Here is a 25,107-nt window from a genome sequence, read left to right on the forward strand (position 1 = left end):
TGTTTAGTTCTCTTATCATTCAAGGCCCAACATCAGAGCCATCACTCCTGGGAGATGTTTTCTCTTTCTGCTAATTGAAGTCCTCTTCGGGGACTTGTTATATTATTAATGACAATACTTTTTGTGCACACCTACTAGCTGGTAAGTCCCTTGAAGTCCAGGGCCCTATGGTGCCCTATTCTTCCTCCCTATCACCTGGCATTGCCCTCTGCACACAGTGATCACTCAGGAACCTTTAATGAGTGAATGAATGAAGCTAGAGTGTGATGATCTCCTTATGGCTCCTGGATTGTTTCTTGCTAGTGCCTGGTAAATGACTTAGTTTTCTATGTTGATGTTTCATTGAGAACCTACTGCGCACACATCAGTGGTTAGTCCTGGAAAGCAGGGTAAGATCCATGTGCCACCACTTCCTGATTCCATGCCCAAGGCAGACATCACTGGTGGCCACAGTGTTCACTCTCAGTGAGGCCCAATATCGCCTGTGAACTTGGCTCCACGTGTCATTCCTGGCAGCTGCTACCCATCATTAGTTAGTATTTGAAGTGTAACTGTCCTGCCATCCCTGGTTCAGCTATGATGAGAGGTCCTGAGAAAGCTGACATTGTCCTTTCCCAAGGGAATTTACAGTTCACTAAGGAGATTAAGTAAATATTTTAAAAGTACTTAGTATGTGGAAGATTTAAGTAGTCACACAAGGCACTAAGTGGTTCAGAGCTAAGCGAGTGGTGGTGGGCGGTAGCAGGCAGTAATAATCTGGGGAGCTTGGAAAGTGAGGAATGCTGAGCCACTGCAGTCAGAGCCGACTTCCTGGAGGAGGTGGCTTTAACACCTAGAGGAATTGGGAGAACAGTCTGTGGCAGGAGGAGAAACAGCCCAAGCAGCTCCTCAGAGGAGGCAGGCCAAAGAGGGAAGAGCTTTAGATTCTTTTCTTATGGTCAGGGCAACCTCTAGCAATGGAAAGCCCAGATGTCTCAAAGACCTGGACGGCACTGCCATGGCATTCTCCTTGATTTGCGAGCTGGTGCATAGTCCTGAAGAGTCCCTTTTAAAATTCTTCACTCTGAGGAATCACTTAAAACAAATCATGATTCTTGAAATCTGCCTCTAACCCCCAAATAGTTTTTTTTCCACGGTGAAGAACTGGAATATTTCTGTGTGTTTGCTTTGCTCTCCATGGGTAACCTCTCTTCCTGCATGATAAATACACATTTGAAAATATTGATTTGCTGCTACCCCTTTGAAAAGCTTAAGAAGGCTGACCTCTGCCTCAGCGTTCTCTGACTTGAATTTTTCAGACTGACCAATTGACCCCTGGAAAGGCTGAGAAACGTTACCTGCGGTCCTGGAGGGACTTTCTGGGGGACGGAGGCCACGGTGGTGGCGGCCACTTGGCAAATGCCTGAAAGGAGGGCCTTTTAATAAAATGCAGTATGTCCATGGCTCAAATCTAATGACTTTTAAATAGCTCCTGGGAAGAGGAAAGCCTCCATGGTGGAGCCCAGGAGTCACCCCGGGGGAAGTGCCATTTTCCAGACTCATCTCAGAAACCCTGGGGTCCCCTCAGCCCCAAGTACATGGGGCTGTGTTGGGCCTCAAAGTTTGCTTCTTCTCAACCTCCCACCCCGACCCCGCCGATTGCTCCTCGTTTTATTTTCTTTCCTTGGTTTTACCACGGTATGACCTCGTGTTGTATTTTTTCTGAATGACAATGAAAGTAATTGAAAATATTGATTGGCAGTACAGTTAAGTTGTCAACACAACCATTTAATTTGTCAGGAGGACTTGTTAAATTGTCAAAAATCATATAAAAAAACTCCTTCAGTCACTGATGATATACATTAGAGATGTTCATGAATCAAATGGGCCATTTTGGAGATAAGTGTTGAAGAAAAATTCTGAAATGGGTTTCTTCAGATACGTTTGTGTTCTCTCCCACTCTCTCTCTCTCTGATCACACATTACAAAGAATATTGGAACGATTTTGGCAAGGCAAGGTGAGTGAGGGATACTTTTTTGAGTAGAGGCCTCACTAAGGGTATCATGGCAGAAATAAGATCATTTATAGCAATTAAATTAGAAGATTCTAATGCGGATGCCATCAAGTTATTTATTAGGACAAACGGGTTGGGAAGTTCCTTTCCTCCTTATATGTAGGATTTAAAATATGTGTCTTGGAATATTTTTTTCTTACGGAAATTCTTTTTTTCTTTTTTGAGACAGAGTCTTACTCTGTCACCCAGGCTGGAGTGCAGTGGTGCTCTCGGCTCACTGCAACCTCCGCCTCCCGGGTTCAAGCAATTCTCATGCCTCAGTCTCCCAAGTAGCTGGGATTACAGGTGCACACCACCATGCCCAGCTACCTTTTGTATTTTTAGTAGAGATGGGGTTTCACCATGTTGGCCAGGCTGGTCTTGAACTCCAGATCTCAGGTTATCCGCCTGCCTCAGTCTCCCAAAGTTCTGGGATTATAGGTGTGAACCACTGCACCCAGCAGGAAATTGTCTTTTTAAAAATTATTTAATTTTTTAAGAGACAGGGTCTCGTTCTGTTGTTCAGGCTTGAGTGCAGGGGTGTGATCATGGCTCACTGCAGCCTTGACCTCCTGGGCTCAAGCCATTCTCCCACCTCAGCCTCCTGAGTAGCTGGGACCACAGGCACACACCACCATGCCCAGCTAATCGGTTTTTAAAATTTTTTATAGAGATAGCGGTCTCACTATATAGCCCAGGCTGGTCTTGAACTCCTGGCCTCAAGCGATCCTTCTGCCTCAGCCTCCCAAATTGCTGGAATTTACAGGTGTGAGCCACCATGCCTAGCAGGAAATTGTCTTTTAGGGGCTCTTGGCTGCTGACTCTGCCAGCCCTGTGTGAGGCTGAGTGGGTAATACCAGCTTCCTGTTCAGATATGTGGGGCCCTGTTGAAACCCTCCTGCATTTTCACTGCTGCTAGTAATTTAGTTCCTGAAGGGTCTATGTGCCCAAATGAAATTGGAAGTAGCTTTATTTATTTTAGATTAATTTAAGAATAGTGCTATCTGCTACCCCTTGGTCAAAATGAGTCAAGTCATTCTTGACATTGTTAGTTTTTAGCTCTATTTAATAAAATAATGTATTAGGGCTCAGAAATCCAACTTGATTCAGCTTGAGGGAATAAAGGATTTTATTGGAAAGCTACTCAGGTCACTCCTATAGTTCACAGGAGGGCTGGTGTGGTAGGCAGAATACTAAGAATGGCCCCCGCAGTATTCCTTGTCCCCTAGTGCCCAGCCTCTGTAATGTGATGAGATATCACTGCCCTGATTCTGTTGTGTTACATGGAGTGGTGGATCTTAAAAAGGGGGATTATCCAGGTGGGCCGAATCTAATCACACAGGATCTGAAAGCGCAGAACTTTCTTCACCTGGTTGAAGCAGAGAAAGTCCTAGATATTCAAAGAGAGAGAGGGATTTGACATGCTCTTGCTGGCGTGACAATGGAGGGGCTCACGAGAAGGATCGGGCAGCTCCTAGAAGCAGAAAGTGGATCACAGCCAGCAGCCAGCAAGGAGTCAGAGACATCAGCTGTACAGCTGCAAGGAACTGAATTCTGCCTGCCACCTGAATGAGCTCAGAAGGCGATCTTTTCCCCCAGCGTATCTGGTTGAGAGCACAGACATGTGGGGACTAACACCTTGATTTTGGCCTTGTGATACCCTGAGCATAGAACCCAGCTGAGGGGTGGAGCAGTTGTGTGCAGTCCTAGGATTGGGGTTATGCACCTGACCAAGGTCTATCCCGATGATAGGCAGCCCCCCACCGTAAGCTCATATGCAGCCCCAAAAGAAGGGAATGCAGTTCTGGGAAGATAATATAATAAATGCTTGCTAAAAGTCATACTGCATCTCATGTTGCTAAAATGCATGTTTTTCACATTTTATGACTCTGAAATGGGGGTGCATCTTTCCAAAGCATGGTGACTTCTGAAAGAAAGCTGCTGGCCAGGGTCTGCCATGTTTGTCTCTGCCTATGCTTGGGCAGCCTTGGCAGCTGTTCCTGGTGGCTCCTCTCAACTGTAACCCCTAGGGTTTCAGTCAGCAAACCACTGAACGGCCATTTGAGGAAAGATTCTAAGTCTAGTTATTGTCTGAAAACCTTCTGTTGACATTTCCTGGTAAGATTGAGAAAGTGCTAGTATCAAAACTTGCAGAACGCTTGTTGGCGGCTGCAGCAGCTATGCTCTTGAGTGACAGAGAAGATGATATTTTGTGTGAGAAACACAAACATCGATAAACTCTGAGTTGAAAATTGATTCTGAAAAGTCAGGCAGTGAGTGGGAGAAGTTTTGGGAATGCTTTATTCCATGTATTTCACCTATGTATATTTTTATGAATGCACACAAGTGATAAAAGTCTGTGTCTACATTAATCCAAAAGAGCTATTTTAATAAGTATAAAATAAAAATGCCAAGTGATTGGAAAGCATTGTGTGGCAGTTTAATTGCTTTGTTTTTCTCAGTGTTACATAAAATCATGCTGTATTAAAATCAACGGCACATTAGATTCATATAATTTTAAATAAAACATTTTAGTATATTACACATTGGTTATCTTGTAAGATAGGGATATTTTACTTGGAAAAGTGGAGACTGGGGTTTTGGCATTGTGATGGGCTGCAAAAATTGGTGTCTTTTAAAATTCAGAATTGCTGAGGTGTCTGTTGATTAGACTGTAAGAGAAAGGACTGAATGCTTGATGCAGGTTGAAATTGTGCCAATCATGTGTCCCAGCCTCCATGCTCCACAAACATTTACTGCCACTCTCTGCCACCTGAGATGCCTCTGGGCTCTCACCTGGAATCTGTGATTAAACATGAGTTGGTTGGGAGGTGAGGCATTGAGACCATGAGTGGTTGGGGTAGGTGTCCTTGGAATTTATAACATGGCTTTGCTTTGTTTCTGGCCCAAGGTGGTATTCTGCTGTCACAGAAAGAACACACCAGACCACATTTTCATGGCATCTTTACCATTACCTAGCTGTGAGACTTTGATCTCAATATTTACCTGCTTTGGCAGTCTCTATTTCTGCATTAATGTAACAAAAGAGCTAAACTATAGTGCCTCAAATTTTGTTTCTAGCACTAATATTTTGTTTTCAAAAAATGTGCTCAGTGTCTCCCTTGTTGCATTTCTTTGACTTCTCATTTCTGGTATACATTTGTTCGTATTTTTGGAGTTCCTGTGGCTTGCTGAGCCCTATGCTGAGTTATGCATGGGAGAAAAGCTGAAGATGGTATCCTTATCCTCAGGGAGCTCTTCCATGGCATTTCAGAGAGAGGATAGATATCTGAAAATGGGAGTATGTCTTTATTTTTAATATAGCATGAAAAAAGAAAGTTTATTAGTTATCTATTGCAATGTAATACATTACTACAAAACCTAGTAGCTTAAACCAATTTATATTTATTATCTCCTAATTTCTATGGGCAAGGGATTTAGTAGCAACTTAGATAAGTGGTTCTAGCTCAGGGTCTCTAAAGAAATTGTAGTCAAGATATATTGTCAGGACTGCAGTCACCTGAAGGCTTGACTGGAGCTAGAGGATATGCTTCCAAAATGGCTGACTTGCACAAATGTTTGCAGGAACTCTCACTTCCTTTTGAAAATGGGAGTATTTCAAAGACCATGTGAGTAAGTAGATAGCAGAATGAACTGTGTGGATTATTAGGAAATACAGTCTTCTGGAGAGGGTTTTGTTTTGTTTAGCAGAGAACAAGCTGGAGGATGAGGGTTAAATGGTCTGTGAACTTAAATAAATCAGCAGCGCTTATTGTGTTTGTCTATTGGGGTCTCTGAATTGCCTCTCATTTGTCCTCATTCTGGGCATTCAAATGGGGCTGGTGTCAGCTACAAAACACATAAGGACCTGTAGGCACCGTTTTTTGCTCTGGGCTTAAACACCTCTGAAACTCAAAATGGGAATTGGATGTCTGAGCCCCCTTTATTCTACCACCATCACTGTACAAGTGTGGTCCCTGCCATAGCTAGTTCAGGGTCCTCTAATGCCCGTAGTCTTTCTCTGTCCTGAGGTCATCATGGGGCCCAGGCTGCTTCTACCTGGTTGCTCTGTCGTTCTTTAACTGGTCATTCTTGTCTTTGTGGCCAAAGCTGGCTTACCAGCACAGCATTTGTGCTGTATTTCATGGGAAGAAGGGAGGCAGCATGAAGCACAGCCAGCTTCCTTTTTAAGGATATGACATCAACTTGCACACAGCACTTCACTGATATTCCATTAGCTTGATCTTAGTCACATGGCTTCACCCAGCTGCAAGGGTAGCTGGGAGATGTAGTCTCTAACTGGGCTACCGTGGACTTTTCCCCATGAAGAAGTGTGCAAGGAGGCAGTTACTTGTCTGCCACAACTGCTACCACTGAAATCTTTGCTTTGTTTGCCTTCTTTTACACTAAGCAATGAGTTCCTTGCAACTAGCATTTATACTTTTTTAATGGTCACAGTGTTTATAATAGAACTTAGTTCATGGTAGATACTTAAGAAGTGTTTGCTAAATGAGGGAAACAATCCATGAATGAGCGAAGAAATGCACTGATGATGGCACACACTATTTGGGGCCCTTCTTTCTTGTATCCTAAGAAATAGTCTTTGTATTTGAGTACATTTAGCTGAACCGTTAGTGGGCTATGCTGAGTTCAACCTGTAAGAGGATGCTTGGCTTCATCTGCCATGTGGTCTTTGAACCCAGGACTGGGGAGATGAAGGAATATTTCATTAATCCTTGCACCATTTAGTCTCCTTATCAAATGGCCCAGGCCTATTCTTTGTTACAGACAACAATGAAGGGTGCCTTTAAGAAATCTCCAGTGAGTACCGAGGCATTGCAGATTAGGTCAGTAGAACTGCTGCTAGGTTGAGCATGATGGATGAGCAGGAGAATGAGTTTCTGCTGCACGGTATTGTGAAATCTTTTCATTGTCACCAACGGGCCTATGAGGAACTGATGAATGAGGGAGCAAGTGTCAGAAACGCCCTTCCTTGCCCCAGTACAGTTTTAATATCTCCCTGAGCTACAGGATGAGTATTGATAAAAGTAAAGTTTAAAAATAGCCACGGAGTGATGGGTAGCCATGATTTAAGGAGAACAGCAATGGGGTTAGAGAGGGTTCATTTTCTTGAAAGTGCATGAGCGGGAGAGAGTGAGAGGAGGAGAGAAGCAGGAGAGCTGGACTGTGAGGGGAAAGAGCAGGAGGCTTTTATAAGAAGCTAATGTGATGAGGATGACGAGGGCTTTGATGGATGAGTTAGCTCCATCTGGTCGCAGTATATGTAATAAATAGCTGTGCTCGGGTTTGACCTCTCCCTTACCAGACACATCTTTCTCTTTGGGGATATCCAGGAGGGAGCTTCCATTAGAGTAAAGAACCCGTCATGAGCCAGAGCTGAGGATGTTTATGGGCTTGTGCAGAGGGCAAAAAGGAGATGGTATCCAAGTTACAGGTTTATAAACTGAAAACTGTAGCCTGTGCGCCTTGCTGACGATGGTGCTGGTGACAGAAATGCATTTCCAGGGTTACACTGCTACTTATGTGAGGAGGAGAAGGATGGGAGGAGGAGGGTGGCTGAGGGGTGGCCAGCAGCCCCAAGGGCTGCTTCAGGTACATCCTGGTTTCTTGCTTATTGCATAAACAGGGCGCCTTTGTCACACCTTCCCTTTGCTGTGAGCAAATGTTAAATTAAGCTGGAATTGAATAGGTCTGTAACTAGGTATATAATTCTTAACTGGGATGGTTTGGGAATGCGGTATTCCGGTCAATTCAATTTTCCGGTTACCTTGTTAGAAACATTATAAAATGTGTTTGCTCATATTCCTGCCTTAGAAAATTCACAAGAGTGAATTGATCATTGCAGGCATTTGTGTTGGTTTTGGCATATCATTTTACACATCAGTGATTGTTGCCTTCCCCTGAAGATATAAAATGTGTCCTGGCCTGGAGCATCCCCTAAGAGTTCAGGTTGAAAAAAAACCTGCCCACTTTCTCTAATAAGTGTAGAGTTTTGATTTTTAATAATTTTTTGGATAATTGATGTTTTATGGATTTCTATTCAAGAAATGAAGGAAAAGGGAATAGAATTTGCTACTGGGTTGTATAGCTGAGAGTAAGTTTGGAGAGTGTATTAGTCCGTTTTCACATTGCTGATAAAGACATACCCGAGACTCGGTAATTTATAAAGAAAAAGAGGTTTAATGGACTCACAGTTCCACATGGCTGGGGAGGCCTCACAATCGTGGCAGAAGGTGGAAGGCTGAAGGTGAAAGGCACATCGTACATGGTGGCAGATGAGAGAAATGAGAACCAAGTGAAAGGGGTTTCCCCATATACAACCATCAGATCTCGTGAGACTTACTACCGCGAGAACAGTATGGGAGAAGCTGCCCTCATGATTTAATTATCTCCCACCGGGTCTCTCCCACAACACATGGTAATTATGGAAGCTACAATTCAAGATGAGATTTGGGTGGAGACACAGCCAAACCATATCAGAGAGCAAATGGATCCGCCTTAAGAGTAAGTGGCAGATCTGAGAAATCAGCTTGTTTGTTTCTTTGGGATCAAAAGGCTCTTAGAGAAAACCTAGTTAGAAGGTCCTCCCGCCCCATTTCCCCAGTCTTCATGGAGGAGCTGCTTGGATGCCAGGACCAGGTCCCTGGTGCAGCAAGCCTGCTGCAACATTGCCAAGTGTGGGAGAGGGACCGGGTTTTGGGCAGCACCACCTTGGCCTTCCTCCTTCTTGTGTGAGAAGCTAGGGATGAATGTGTGAAAGCTTGGAGCCTAGCATACCACATGTATAAGTCAGAGCCATCAGTCCCTACTGTGGTGACTCATCCCCTTCAAGAATCAGATCAAAGCTGTGGACTCTTCATACTGGAAGCAAAGCACACATATGCACATGTGCGCGCACGTGCATGCACACACACACACACACACATACTTCTGTATATAATAACTTCAAGGGGGGTTTGCTGCCACCCTTTGAATTCCTTACAATATTGAGAACTCAGCTAAGTAGTTTAGAAGGCCTCTACGATATATATGTGTTTGTGTGTGTTTATATACACATATGTGTATGCATTACTGTACCTATATGCACACACCTACATATATATCACATATATGTATATATTTGCTTATCTATGTGAATGACTAATATCATCCAACTGGCATCCAACTGGTTGATGCTCAGTATTCAGTATCAAAGGAATCCCAAGACCCTGTGTGCTTATGAGCATTTCATTTGTTACATGTGCAATTTAAAAACATTTGGTGCTTCTGTCTAGTTTGAATGTTACTTATAAGCTGTGGCAGAAATTCTCCTTTTGCAAAAAATATAAGTGGATTAAGGCTACTCAAGTGGGACCATCCAGTAGAATTCTAACACAGGTTTAGTTTGTCTTTGCTACATTCTGTCATCTTCTTCCTTCTTTCCTACCCTCTGCTACTCTGGTTCCTAAATGCCCCCCTCCTGGCCAGTGCCCTCTCTCCACATCGTGTCCACATGTTGCTTCATCTTCTCTTTAGAACTCCAGTTTCTGTTTCATAATCTTAGCTATGTGAGTGGCTATTAGCTGGATATTGGGAGGAAATCAGAGCTCTAGAGCTAATTCATACTAAAGTGTGAATAACTGATTACTTCAAATTCCCCATGGATAGGCATATTTAGAAGAGGATATGTCTTAACCCAAATCAATCTCAATCTACTGAATTTGATCATTGCGGCAAAGGAAGAATTTTAAGCAGCAATGTTTAAAAACAACAACAAAAAACCCACAAATGGCTGCAGGAAAGAAAAGAGCTTAGGAGACAAAGGATGATAAATGTGAGTATTGTTCTTCATGAGAGAATCACTTGGAAAGGTTTGAAGGCAGAAACCAACCTCAGGCACTAGGGACAGAAAAGGGAGAAAACTTTATATGCAGAATTTCACCATCCTTCTAACTGGAGGTTTCCATGATTGGGAAGAAATTGATTTTAATCCTTTAATCCTTTTTTGTTGATTTTTTAAATTTTTATTTATTTATTTTAGAGATAGAGTCTCACTCTGTTGCCCAGGCTGGAGTACAGTGGCATGATCTCGGCTCACTGCAACCTCTGTCTCCAGGGTTCAAGTGATTCTTCTGCCTCAGCCTCCTGAGTAGCTGGAACTTCAGGCATGTGCCACCACGCCTGGCTAATTTTTTTTGTATTTTTAGTAGAGACTGGGTTTCACCGTGTTAGCCAGGATGGTGTGGATCTCCTGACCTCGTGATCCACCTGCCTCAGCCTCCCGAAGTGCTGGGATAACAGGTGTGAGCCACCACACCCGGCCTGGTTTTAATCCAATTTTAAGAGATAAACCTAGTCTCTAACCTGAAAAGGCCCATCTTTCTATCCTAGGGACAGATTTGTCAAATCTTTGATAGATTTTAGGTGTTTCTGTTGTGTAAGAGGATACCTGATGGGAAGGAATACTGGAGCTCATATGAACAAAGAAAAGTTGTAAATCTCTGGAACTCTCTCTCCCATATCTTTTCTCTTATGAAAATAATAAATGCTTTTCCAAGAGAAAGCAGAGAGAAGAAAAATATTTCTAATACTCTTGCCAGCCTGCAAATTAAAACACTCTTAATATTTTGATGTATTTCCTTCCAGTATTCTACTTTTTACATATAGGGTATTTTATATGCTGCCTCTTGATTTTATAGCACCTGCATTTTCCATATAATTACATATTCCTAATGAAAAGTACTTTAATGACTACCTAATATTCTCGTAGCAAGGTGTTGTTTTGTTTTACTATTATTCAATTCACAGGTACATGTGTTCCCCCACGGGGGTTTTGGTTTCTTTAGTCTAAAGCTCTAGAAGTAGAAATACCAGGTTAGAGTATGAACATGTTTGTTGAAGGGTCTCTGAGACCTATTGCCACATCACTTTGGCAAGAGGTTATTGCAGTTTACTCTGCTATTGGAGTGAAGCCTGAAGCATCGACTTTGAAAGACATCAGAGCTCCTACTTCTCAGTCGAGGGGTATAGTAAGTCATCCTTGAAAGTGGAAAAGAGAAAAAGATGGGGAAACGGGGACTGGGGCTGCTTCATAACAGCCCATCAGGTGAGTGCTGACTTTAACACTAATGCTTTCCTCTAAAGTTGCATTAATTTGCTGGGAAACCATAACAAAGTACTGCACGTTGGATAGCTTGAACAACAGAAATTTACTATCTTACAGTTCAGGAGGCTAGAAGCCCGAATTCAAGATGTCAGTCGGGTTACTTCCTTCTAGGCTGTGAAGGAGAGTCTGTTCCAGGTCTCTCTCCTGGCTTCTGGTGGTGGCTGGCAATCTTTGGCATTCCTTGGCTTGGAGAATCATCACCCTGATCTCTGCCTCCATCTTCACCTGGCATCTCCCCGTGTGCATGTCTGTATCCAAATCTCCCCTTGGTGTAAGGACATCAGTCATATTGGATTAGAGGCCTGCCCTACTCCATTATCATTTCATCGTATTACATCTGCAATGGCCCTAATTTCAAATAAGGTTACATTCTGAGGTACCAGGGGTTAGGACTTCAATACATGAATTTCAGGGAGACATGATTCCACTCATAACAAAAGAGACCCACTAGGCACTAGGGAGTGAGCTACTGCAGAGTGGCCCCACAAGCAAGTCACTTGTTTCTCTGGGCCTGGCTTTCTGCCTCTCAAAAATGAGGGTGTTGGACTAGAGCAGTGGCTTGCAAAGTGGGGTCCCCAGCCCAGCAGCATCAGCATCACCTGGGAATGTGTTAGAAATGCACATTCTCAGGCCTTAACTTAGCATTACTGGATCACAAACTCTTTGGTGGGGGCTCAGCAGTTTTGTGTTTTATCAAGCCCTCCAGGTGGTTCTGGTGCTGACTGAAGTTTGAGACCTACTGGACCAGATGACCCTCTGGGTAAGAATTCTGAAATGTCAACATCTGAAACATGTGTGCACAGGAGTTCACTGCCCCATGCACATGGCCTGCCATGAGGGATGCAAGCCTAGTAAATGATCGCAGCCAATTTTTTAAACGTAAATGATAATCTAGTTTTTGTCCTAGGTGAGTGGCTATGTGACAAACTCCAAAGTTTTTACAAGTCCCTACTGTTCTTTCAGTGTGCAACCTGTACCTCCAGAAAAATACATTCACTCAAAGTAATGTTTATTGATCAATGAACTGTACCAGACCCTGGACGCTATTCCTTTTGCATAAGTGTGACTTGTTTTTGCTAAGCTTTAACTTGTCCCCTGTTTATTTCTCTTTCCTAAGGCATAAGTCAAGGCCAGCGAGATGGCTTGGCCCACGGACCTAGATTTAGAAACATCCTGTTATTGATGTATGGATTATACATGAAGGCCTAATGGAGACTGCTGTGGGGTTCAGGGAAGACCAATTAGGGAATTAATTCATTAGAGCCCAGCATACATGTTGCTATATCTATTTACTTATTTAGGTTAATGTCTTTTGCTGATCTTCTTACAGCCATAAGTCCCTGTCAATAGTTGATAATGTACTTGAATTTCCTTCAGACTATTAAAATTTTACATATTGGACATTTATGACAGGAACCAAAGTTTACTTTTTGCTTTGACATCCTGATATCTAGGGTCTTCTGTATAGTAATAAAGTAATCCAAGAATCTGAGCCACACACTGGCCAATCAGTTTTCTCTGCATCTGAGATCACCAAATACACTTCTTTTCTAGCCATTTTACCTGTATGAATGTGTTGGTAACCTTGTTATAGGACAAAGCTGTACATAGAATATTGCTTATCTCATTCCCGTATCATCAACTGCAGGATAACATCTGCTTTGTTTCTTTCCTTCGTTCCCTGGTAAGACACCTTATTTGCCTCTCATTCTTCATGATTGTGTTTTGTCCCTTAATTTTTGATACAATAACCAGGGGTCCTTGTTGTCATGATGCCCATGCAGTCTATGCAAAAGAAAGATTATTTTAGTGGGAAGATCATAGATGTGGGTGGCAGGGAGCTTGGGTTCCAACCTCCACTTGTTGACTAACTTGGTGAATCTGGGAAGGTTACATCTTCCTCTCTTCTTTCAATCTGAGTTGTGAGGTGGAATGAGACCTGTTGTACCTGCTTTTGAGTGAGGGCAAAAGAGATGCAAAAATGAAATTGTGGAGATGGCAGTGCTTTGAACAATACAAAGTGGTGCACTGATGCCAGGAATTCTATGCATATCCACACACATTTGAAATTTTTGTCCAGTTCAGATTAAAGACAACTTTATTATTACCATTAAATCTGCTTACAGAGCAAATATGCAAATATGTGTGTGCTTAATGGTGGCAGGCTTGCTTTAATCCTTCTTGCTTTGGGGTTCTGCATTTTATTTTCTGGTGATGCAGACCTGGTAATGATCACTACTGATATTTACCACATTTTATTAATGTGATTTTTATGATCCTGCAGGAGATAATTAGGATTGGGTTTGTTTTTTTCACGTTCATATTATGAAATTTCGAGCTACATAGTGACATGGTGGGGAGGAGGGAAATAGCACAGAGAAGGAATGCGTTACAAATAAACTCAACCCAGAAACCATGTTTAACATGGATTAAAATGAATGTAGCCCTGTGTTCATTATTTATAGCTATTATGCAGAAAATATGTTACTGGACTCTCAAGAATTGGATGTTAAGAAATGTTTGGTTCCTCCCTTTGGAAAGCATCCAATTAACACACCATCCAGAGGAGACAGATTGGGGGGTCAAGGTAGACAGGAAACATTTTCTTTGATTTACTTATTTTAAAACCTTTATTTAATTTCTACCATTTAATAAAATCAGACATTAGATGAATTGAACTAATAAACTGTCTTTATATCAATATGAGAGTGAATTTGAGGCCAGGCTCTGTTGGCATAGCCTTATGTTTTGTTTCCTTTTAAAATCTGTTCTTAGACTAGTAGGTTTAAGCAAAGTTTTATACATAAGATGATCAAACTGGTGGAATTAGGAGGACAGTTCTATGACCATAAAGCAGATCTCTGCAGAAGGCGTTACCCCCGTACATGCACAGAGAAGGTTCTCAGTAAACTCTCATGTATAGAGGCTAGATAGGATCTTGGTTAAGAGTGCCTGATCCGGAGCCAGAAGACATGCGTTTGAAGCCTAGTGGTTTTGTTTGTTTGTTTGTTTTTGTTGTTGTTGTTTTGAGATGGGGTCTCACTCTGTCACCCAGGCCGGAATGCAGTGGTACAATCTCGGCTCACTGCAACCTCCAACTCTCAGGTTCAAACAATTCTACCTCAGCCTCCCAAGTAGCTGGGATTACAGGTGTGTGCCACCACACCTGGCTAATTTTTGTATTTTTTGGTGGAGATGGGGTTTCGCCATGTTGGCGAGGCTGGTCTTGAACTCCTGATCTCAAGTGATCCACTCAACTCGGCCTCCCAAAGTGCTGGGATTACAGGTGTGAGCCACTACACCCAGCCTGAAGCCTAGTTTTAACATGAACTATTTGGCACCCTTAAGCAAGTTACTTTAGCCTCTTTAAGCCTCAGTTTCCTCATCTGTAAAATGGAGAAAACAATAGCACCTAACTCTAAGGGCTATAGAAAGAAGTGAGGCACTGCAGCATCTGAAGTATTTGGCACCTGGTACCTAACAAGCTGTCAAATATTAATTATTGTTGCTTATATTACTATACTGTTACAATAATTATTAGTAATCTTACTGAGTAACAAACATTACCTGTTGCATAAACTAGGTAGGGGCAGTGTGGCAGGGAATAAGACAAGTAAAGAGTTTGGATTCATAACCATTTGAAATCAATTCTAAATTATGAGAATGTATCTTTAGAAATATATTTTATGTTTATGGAGCATGACTAGTTTAGAACTGACATTTAGGACTTCTAAACTTTGTAAATGAGGTATGCTTAGATGAATGGCATCCCAATTCCATGAGTGGGCTCTTTACTTCTCCGCACTCCACTAGTGAATTTGAAGGCCACTGTGAAAAGAAAAAAAAACCAAAACTCTACTTGTTGGGCTCTGTGGTGCTGTTATGGCTTGGCCCGGCTCAGTTTCCTTTCTCTTCTTTTCTGGACAATTTCAGGACCATGGCATCTTGACTTCTCTAAAAATATTTATTTAGTAAGTCTTTAGGTAACTTCAAACTCTAGTCTTGGGCTTAGTGAAACAGAAATCCAGAATCCTAGATTTCTCCAAAGTGAGGGTTTGTGGCTGTTGTACCTGAGCTATGGTGCCCAATCATCTGTCATCCCTGGCTCCTTGACACTGGGTTTATACACATTATAGGGAGGCAATGGAGTGAAGCTCAGTGAAGCCCAAACATCAGCCATTCATGTAGCAACCTTTTCTGCTTTTGCTGTATTGCTTCATACCACCTGTACCCTTATCTCCTTAATATCTTCTGCAATTCTAATCTAGCATATCATTGCTTATTACCTTGTCTTGGCCTAAGAAATAAGATCTGGAAAATCCCAGGGTGCAATGCTAGTTTCATGTCTTCCTATCATCCACTAAAGTAGCTACATAATTGTGAAAATTTAAATGTTTATCTGTGTATCAGCAAAAGAGCCCTTGTGTCCCACTGATGGGATATATATATTCCATGTTTTGGGAGATGTGGGTGGACGAGAGCCTGGGTGTGAATCCCAGCATTTCTGCTCTCTCCCGCTCACTAGCTTTGTGACCTTAGGCAGGTTTCTTCATGACTCTGAATGTAGTTTCTTCATCTGTAAAATGAGGGTGAAAATACCTCCTACTTTATGGTGTGATTTTGAGGATTCAACGAACCCATACGCGGAAAGCACCTAGCACCGTGCTTAGGAAATGGTCATTTCTGGGTGGTGGGAACAGCATGCAGCAAGTCTGCTCCTTGGTCCTCTATCTTGCTGTCCTACCCAGTACATTGTTCATTCCATGAAGGCAGGGGTCCTTGTTATTCATCATTTGGGTAACTACACAGTGTCTGGAACCTAGAAGGCCCTCCAAAAGTTAGCTAACAAATGAGTGAATCCATTAAATTACAGTTGTCCCTTGGTCACCTGGCATGGGCAACAGTGCTTTAGGAGCAGTGGACAAATACTTGTGGGGCTGAGGGGAATGTAGGAAAGAGCAGATCCTTAGAAGTTAGAGATTCTTGAGTTCAAATCATGGCTCTGCTATTTATTGGTTTTGTGACCTTGGGCAAATTACCCTGCCTTTCAGGCTATGCTTACCTTGTTTATATAATGGAGATAATGCCCTGCGAGGCTATTATGAGATCAAACAAGATAGGGAAGGTACCTCCTTAGCACCTGGCACCCAGTAGATATACACCCAACTAATAGTATCCCTTAGCATTTGCACCCCATAGGAGGCAAGGCTGTTGCCTTCACACAGTGTGTGACAAAGCCAGTGAGTTGTTCAGATCAGGCATATGGTAGGGACTTTGTAGGAGGCTGAGCTCCCTTTAGACTGGGGTAGTCAGTACAAGTTTCCTTGAGGTGTTGGGGTTTGCCCTCGACTTGCAGGAGGAGTTTCAGGTTTTGTGCGGTAGAGCTGAGCTCTCCAATCCCTCGTCCCTCCTTTGTGGCACTTCTAGATTTTCCAGCCTCAGGCATTTTCAGGTATGTCTAATTCACTTGGTCTATTGCTGAACTCCCAATTAAATTACTGTATTCTTTAATTACATAGCATCTTAAACTGTAGCTTTGAATTTAATTGAACTTTTTCATGCTCCTTGCTCCCTAGCCAAACAATTTGTACAAAAAAAAATTGAATTAACAATCTGACTTTTTTTTGCATTGATTATTATAACATTAAGAGAGTCCCAGGAGTTTCCAGGCTGTAAAAACCTAAATTGTATAACATTACTCACAATAACGCATATGTTATAATCGCAAAGAACTTACTTAAAATTCAATCCACTTTGGCATCATTATCATGTATCAACATAATAAATGAGTCCTTCAGAGCATGGTAATTATAATTTGATAAATCATCAGCAGAAAATTAACTGGATGTCAAAACATTCATTGGAGAGGGTGATGAATCGGGGATGATTGTGGTGATGAATTGTGTTAATCTGCACAGTATGAAGCCAGCGAAATGGCTAAGCAGCCCAAGATGGATGGGGCACAGAACCGGCAAGGTCAGGACACAGAGCTGGGAGAGGAGGGAGGCGGCGGGCAGGGGTGGGGGAGGAGCTGAGGAGGGGAAGAAGAAAGGACCAGCAGCTTCCCTGGGAGGCCCACGAGTTAACCCTTTCCCCACATCAGTGGAGACAGGGCCCCGTGAAGAGCCTGTTCTTGAGGGAGGTCAGGAGGAACCTGTAATGTGTCCCGTTCCATTTAAGACCCCCTTCCACTCCCTACTACTGCCTCCTGCTAACTCTGTGGGTATTCCTTAGATTAAAGGCGAAGTGCTGAGTGAATGATGAGAAGCCTAGTAGGCCTGACAGTTTTGCATTAACCTAAAAATTTTCTGATGGTGGTGAGGGAGGGGGCTTGTTGGCTCTGCAGTGGGAGTGCTCGCAGCATCTCTCCACCTGGTCTGTGGTCTTGGTGGACAGGGTCAAGCAGGCTCAAAAGGATAGGCCTGTGAATCATGTTAGTGGGGAGCTCTTGTGAGCCCCACTAGAGCTGTAAGGACAGAGGGACCCTTCCGGAGGAGTGGCTGCTCATAGAAGTTGTGGGGCTGATCTGTGCCCCAGCAGCATGGAAAAGGGAGGCATTTCTCTTCCTCTCAAAAATCCACACAAGCAGCTACAGTTCCTTGGCCGGGAGACCAGCCCATCTTTCACCAAGGAAGTTTTGCAAGGGCTGTACCATGGCAGGCTTCTCTCTAAAGCTTCAGTCATGAGAGGAGGTTCTACTAAGCTCTTAAGTTCCAGAGTGATAGAGGGAAGGCTGCACATTCTAGAATGTTCCCTGTGGCCTTGCATGCTCAAGTGCCTCTGTAGCATTAGGGGCTTGCCGGATACTTTCTAAAAAACAGCATTGCCAGAGAATGTGGGCAAAATACTTATCCAATTAAACTAGGAGCCACCATAATGTGCAGGGATAAGTCAGCTTAAGGGCTAAAATCTGGGGAAATAAGGGCCAAATTGATGAAGTGGCTATCATTAAAAACTGTTGTTTTTCCTCTCATTCCTGTCCCACTAGAGATTCATACCCTTAGGTATCTTTTGGAGGGTGAATTAGAGCATGGAATATGAAAAAAGTGCAGCAAGTGAGTGGAAAAATTGTTTGAACATGAAAACAAACCTAGAACCTTGAGGGTACTATAGCTGTTTATGTGGCTATTGAGTTTGGTAAATTTGTAATTAGGTGAGTATGGGTTTTGTTTCTGTTTTATACTGATTGCTTTTAGCCCTCAGCCCCTCATTAAAAATAACCATTAAACAATTAAAAAAAACCCTTCAACTTGGGTAATATAATAAAGCCCAGGCCTTTAAAGACCAATGGCTTTCCTAAGCCACACTGACAGCCACTGTTGGCTGTTGCAAGAAAGGACTTGTACTCTCTGGCTTTTCTCTTTGCCTCTTGGGTGAATCTGGTGCTTCCCTAGATGGTTGTCTATGTTGCCTTAATATCTTTAGGGGAAAATCCCACAAAGACACTTGGAGGTTTGTCCTGTGGTCATCTGGCTCTCAGCTGCTTCTTTTCTTTGAGTCTAAAGTCTGTTTTCCTTGCTTGTTGCTCGATTGAGCAACTACTTATGTTGTCGGTCCAGTAATAATAACCTTACCAATAATGAGAATCCCTTTGACATGTATTTGGCATTACTGTTCTCAAAGAATTTTCACATGTGTTTAATCATGTTAACAGCCATTTTTGGGTTCTCTTTCCTCCTAAGCAAGGAGACAGTTTCAGTCAAAAATTCTCCCCCACTGGCATGTACACCTGATGTGATGGGCATACTGAGGTTCAGCACAGTGGAGCTGAGCTGGTAAAGCTTCTGGCTTACATCAATTTATGTTCACAAGCTCACGCTTATTATGATAATTTTGCCATGTTTCCTTTTTTCTTCTTGGTACCTTTCATCAGTTTTGACACCTTTAGAAGCATCAGCCCAATGCTTTAATTTTCTCTTTCTGAAAGAAGGATGATGCCTTTAGTAGCATCTTAAACTATGTGTCAAATAGGCTTCCCTGGACTTTTTTTAGGAAACTCACCACCATCAGTGACATTATTTCTTGAGGAAATTGAGCTCTGAGTCCTCAGACCCAATATTTAAATATAATGTCTTCCAAAAGTTAGCTTGTACATTGGGATGGTGATGGACTGGGGTGAAACTTTGCTCCAATGCTGATATCATAGACAGTATTTGGGATATCTACTGTGTTTATCAAGGGCTCTGTACAAATGGAATTGTCTGAGATAGACCTCAAAGATTGTGCATGCTACCATGAGATTCAGGTTGAAAGATAAAATCAACCTTGATCATGTGGCTGGTTTGACCTTTGCCACTTGATGACCCCAAGACACATCTACTTTTTTTGAGGTGTCCAATAGGTAGCTCTCTGGATACTTGTATCCACTTCTCTCTAATCAAACACTGATCTTCCCCCTAGTTTCACCTTTAGGGGTAGTGTGATTTGTGGAAAAGGAGTGGGCTGGAGACTATTAGATTGAGCTCTGGCCTGACCAACAGCTAGCTTTGGGGCCTTGGGCCCATCTCTTCTCCTGTGTGGGCCTTAGTCTCCTCACCCATAAAAGAAAGAGATGAAACATTCATGGGATTTCAGACCTTTCCATGGTGCCACCACACAGGTGAGCTGTGATGGGGACTCTGAGCCCTTTACCTCCCCTTAAGCCCCAGCACTTCTACCTTTATCTACTTGTATCTGCATTCTGCAAAGGATTTCATTTGGGGGAAAAGTTCTGCTGCTCAAACATTCTTGAAAGCCACCTTCATTTTCTCTCCCATCTAGTTGGTACTTTAATTGCTTGGGTCCCACTGTGCATCATGGTGCTTTCTAGCTTGTGCATTTTATGAGGCCAGCTTATGGGATTGTATTCTAGTTGCCCAACCCTCCTTCTCTCTCAGGTACCCCTGGGGACCAAAAGTTAGGAGAAAGCTGGGAAACTTGTTGAAGAGCTTAGGAAGGGTTGAAGATGGGCAGGCCCAGTGTGGGCTTGGAAGAGGATGGGCACAGAGGACCACATCCTTTTTACTGTGTCTTCTTATTCCTATCCATCCTAATCTCAGCTCCGTGTGAGCTGACTTGCACAAGAAGCTCTTGAGTCCTAACTTCCATAACATCTAAAGAAGTAGTGGTACCTTCTATTTGTTCAGTGTTTAAAAATCTTGAAAATACTTTCACAGCCATTGTTATATTGGGTATTCTAAATAACCTGAGAAGGTAGAAAGGGCAGTAGTTGTTGCCCTGGGTCTAGAGCTGGGGATGTGAAGGCCTGGAGGAGGTGACCAATGAGCCCTCCTCAGTGACAGTAAATGTGAAAACCAGGACCCAGGCTTTTCAATCCTGGTCCAATACTATTCCCTTTGCTCTTCCATAGTGAGTGGTTTCTCAGCACCCCTGAGTCAGTACTGCCATGTAGAGATATTGGTGAAAAGGAGAAGAAATTCACATTGGTCTGTTTTCTCCTTCCTTTGGACATTTCCTTCTTCCCTTTCTCTCCCCATCAAGAAAAATGTCTTTTGTTCTTGGGGTAGCTATAGACAGCCTCCCCGTCTGCTGTTTTCCCTTCTCTCCTCTCGCAGCAGGAAAACAGGGTGATTATGGGGCCTTCTCTTAGCGGAGGTGTTAAGGGTTTATGTAGTGCTTGTCAATGAATGGCTAATGGACTCAGTTGGGTTGTTTCAATGACAGTTTCCCACAATCTGATACTAAAGTGGAAGCCTTGAGTGAAGCTTTTATCACTCTTTCACCAGGCTCATCAAGAACTTCCTTTTCCTCTCTGGAAATTGTATTTCATGTGGTATATTTCTAATCCAAGTGTTACATCAATCAGCAATTCAGTGTAGGCTTGTGGTTCTCCTGGAGCATTTTACAAGCAAGGATGGGGTTTCTTATTCTGGCCCTCTTGGACTCTTGGAAAAACACTCCAACTGCAATTTCCTTCCATCTATTATGATCTGTTTTTTTAGTTGCTATTAGAATTATTGGGTATTTCAAGACATTATCTTAATAAAGGCATTCCTTTCTGGGCTGTGCTTGACCTGTGGGTGAGATTGGGAATCTGTTTCTTCTCATGGTTATAGTGAAGTTAGGGTTCTCAGAAAACCCAACAAAATGGGAGCCTTTGAAACATGATCTTTTTGGCCAACGACTTCTGTGTGGTTAAAGGGTTGCTGGATGTCGTCAGCCTGTGGATTTCCATCTGGAGAGTGGTTTGTTTTTAAGAAAACCCTCCAAATGATCAGTCTTTCATATTTCAGATGTCAAAGAAAGAAACAAGACATTTAAAATAACTAACACTAGAGGAAATATTGGCTGGCAAGAAAGGGGGAGTGAGATCTGGCTCTTGGATGTATCGCTTCAGCTGTTTTCTGAATGTTTGACAAACACATGGCTTCGATGTGCTAGAATCATAGCAGCCCAGGGATGATGACTAATATGGCATTAGTTGGTTATAAGTCCACTTAAGAATTAGCATCTGAATTCATGAGCTGGTTTCAGTGAAAGGAAAGAAGGAGACTTTGGAGTCTGGATTTTGGAGTTTGGGATTTTTTTTTTTTAATGAATATTTTTTAAAGAGCGAGAAAACCTCTCCTTAACCCCAGGGAAGACTATCTAGCTGACATTTTCCTCTATGGTGTCCCAAGGAAAAAACTTGTCCCCAAATCCTATCCTATTCATATAAAAGACTGAGATTAAAATTTGGGTTATTTTCCCCTTCTCATTTTAAAAATTCATCTGAAGCGTTTTTGAAAAACAATACAAAAAACCTCTCTCTGCAACTGTGACAGGATATAGCAGCTGTCTGAGAATTTTCTCTTTTTTTTTACTGTTATCTTTTCTCTCTTTAAGAAAAGAGTCGTTTCAGAGGCAGCCGTGACAGCTCTGTCATTTCACTCACACCTCTAAATTTCTCTTTCTGTTGTCAGTCAGCAGACAGCAATCTCTGGATTCTGATGGGCCTGAGGGATGTCCAAATACATGAGAGATCGGAGAGAGGCCTGCAGCAGTGTGCGTCAGAAGCCGTCATCTTCTGCCTTTATTCTTAGAGGAATTGTCAGGAGTTTATAAAGTTCTCCTGTGCTGGGATCTCCAAGTCTCCTCTGCCACCATCTACAGCCCACACAAATAGGCATGTGAGGGGCTGGGGCTGGGGCTGGGGCTTCCTGGAATGTCACTTCTGCAAGTTCCAGTTAAGAGGTTGTGTTGAGTTCCTCTACCCTGTGTGCTACACTGGGGAAATTAAGACTATATTGGGAGTAAGTCCTTTCAGGACAAAACCACTTTAACAACAGCAGCAGCAGCAGCAGCAGCAGCAGCAGCAGCAGCAGCAGCAGCAGCAGCTACTCCTGTTTACGTGTTCTTATGTTCTAGGCACTGTGCCAAGTGTTTCACATCCACTCTCCACTCATTTTCCAGTAGTCTTGCAGTAGGTACTATTTTTCATCCCATTTTAGTGATGAGGCATCTGAGGCTCAGATTCATTAAATAACTCAAGTAACTTGCCTAAGGCCATGCAGCAAGTAAGTGACAGAGCTGGGATTCAAACTCAGGACTATGTGACACTGTTGCCTCAAGGCCTTAAGCCATGTGCAGTTCTCATATGCCATCATTGTCTTTTTTTCCACTGTGTAAGGAGACACAGAAATCATAATGACCTGCTGGACAGGTGAGGCCTGTGCCCTTGTCCTTTTTTTTTTTTTTTTGGGACGGAGTTTTGCTCTTGTGGCTCAAGCTGGAGTGCAATGGCATGATCTCCACTCACTGCAACCTCCACCTCCTGGGTTCAAGCGATTCTCCTGCCTCAGCCTCCCAAGTAGCTGGGATTACAGGCACCTGCCACCACGCCTGGCTAATTTTTTGTATTTTTAATAGAAACAGGGTTTCACCATGTTAGCCAGGCTGGTCTCGAATTCCTGACCTCAGGTGATCCACCCGCCTTGGCCTCCCAAAGTGCTGGGATTACAGGTGTGAGCCATCATGCCTGGCGGCCCTCATCCTTTATGCAGTATTATGGCAGCTGAATTAAGATGAATAATGACAGCACCGTGACTTGGGGGCGGTGGGGTAGTGGGGGTCAGAAGTACCCCAGGAGGTGGAGGAGAAAGGCCACCTGAACTCAAAGGGAAAAGTTCTATAGTTGAAAGCAACCTGGATTTAGAGTGAATCTCTACAAAAGGGGCCCCAAAATGCCTGACCATGTGAGCTTGATATAGGTCTTTTGTGGAGCCAAACTTACCTATTGGTCTGAGCTCTCCTGTCAGGGCTTGGCACATAGTTTGAACAACCCCAGTAGTCGTCTTATAGATGTTGGCAAAACTACAAACAACACATTTTTCACTTTTAAAGGGGCCAGTTTTGCATCTTCTATCTGTGGTATTCCATTGTCCCCAGTTTTCTTCTTCTTTCTTCTGTTAATTTCCCCTGCAGATATAGCATCTCTGCCATCCACAAATGTGTCTTGGTTCCACCTAACTGTTCCCTGGGGCAACATGGAGGGGAGGCAAACACACCTTGCTGAGCCTGACTTTGACCATGACTCATGGTGTTCAGGCCCAAAGCATTCAGGGGATGAGCTACACAGCAAAGTGGGATGCTCAACATTGCTACCTCCAAAATATCATTGTTAGTCATTTCCTTTCTGGAGTTAGACTGCTTGAGTGCAAATCCTGATTCTACCTCTTAGTAAACCTGTGGCCATTTGGGTGGTTATTGAACTTCTCTGTACCTTTGTTTCTTTGTCTGTAAAATGAGGATAGCAGCACCTAACTCATAGGGTTGCTGTTATTGATAATCATGATTATTGCTTTTATAGCCTTACACTAAGGGCCAGGCCTATTCTAAGAGTTTCACATTCATGAACTCATTCAATCCTCCCAGCAGCTCAATGAGGTAAGTATTGCTTTTTCCTCATTTTGCCAATGAGGAAACTGAGTTGTAGAAAGGTTAAGTTATTTGCCAAAAGTCAGACAGGTAGTGAGCAATGGAACAGAGATTCAAAAGGAAGGATTCTATGCTCCTAACTGCCATCCTGTCCCCTAAAATTTCATACCTACAACATGCTTGGCATAATACCTGGCACATAGTGAGAGTTTACTAAATATATACCATAGATAATAATTGCAGTATTATTAACATGATGAGGATTAATGCAAGGCACTGTATTAGCTGCTGATAATAATGATGCACAATCCCCAAAAAGTTCACTTGTGTATTTAAAAACCAATGAGGAAGATGGATGCTTTAATGAGCGATGACCACCAAGTATGTACAAGCTATGACAGATGATCTACAGATGCTATGGAAGGACCAGCATTTCTTTAAATAAAAACTACTGGTAACTTTCATCTTAGGTCAGGCATTGTACTAAGTCCTTTGGGACGGAGTTATTTTACTGAATCCTGCATGGTAGATGCTGTACCATAATTATCCCATTCTGTAGACACTGAGGACTGGAGAAGTAACTTGTCTAGGTCACGCAGCTCTAGGGGGCTGAAGGCCCTGGGCTCTAAGCCACTGTCCTACTGCCCAACTTGCCTGAGTGCCTCTACACTGATGGTTGTTTCCCAGGACTTCCTGATTTTTTTCTGAAGGATGGAAACAAAGACGACCCAATAGGAGTGAGGTCATTACCTCCCTCCCATTCTCCCTTCAGCACCAGATCTCCAGGAGATGGTTCAGTAAAACAGCAGTGAATTGGATAGAGGAATCGTCTCTGTGGAGTGACTTTCCTTGTTTCTTTGGGGTGGACCATTCTGGGCTTTCCTCCTTTACACATGTGCTCATGTGACACTCTTTGTGGAGTGCCAGGGACTGTGTCCTTCGAGGACAGATTGGGTACCCTGTTTTCTGTGGCCTTCCATGAAAACTGCCCATGGCATGCTCTCCTTTCTTTGGGCCTTGAACTCTGAACGATGCACAGAGGCACTTCTGTCA

General features: G+C 42.9%; 1 protein-coding gene across 3 annotated transcripts in view, besides 1 other annotated feature; it reads left to right on the forward strand.

The window, feature by feature from the left end:
- Positions 1–25,107, forward strand: part of LRMDA (leucine rich melanocyte differentiation associated) — a 1,128,545-nt gene that overhangs the window by 518,935 nt on the left and 584,503 nt on the right. The window lies entirely within an intron of this gene.
- Positions 16,545–17,302: an enhancer, noted in NCBI's record as "VISTA enhancer hs320". NCBI's record gives its function as "enhancer in: neural tube[10/12] | hindbrain (rhombencephalon)[10/12] | eye[9/12]" and the evidence as "EXISTENCE:transgenic organism evidence [ECO:0001131][PMID:17130149]".

The sequence above is a fragment of the Homo sapiens genome, chromosome 10 (assembly GCF_000001405.40).
Source record: "Homo sapiens chromosome 10, GRCh38.p14 Primary Assembly".
NCBI lineage: Eukaryota > Metazoa > Chordata > Mammalia > Primates > Hominidae > Homo > Homo sapiens.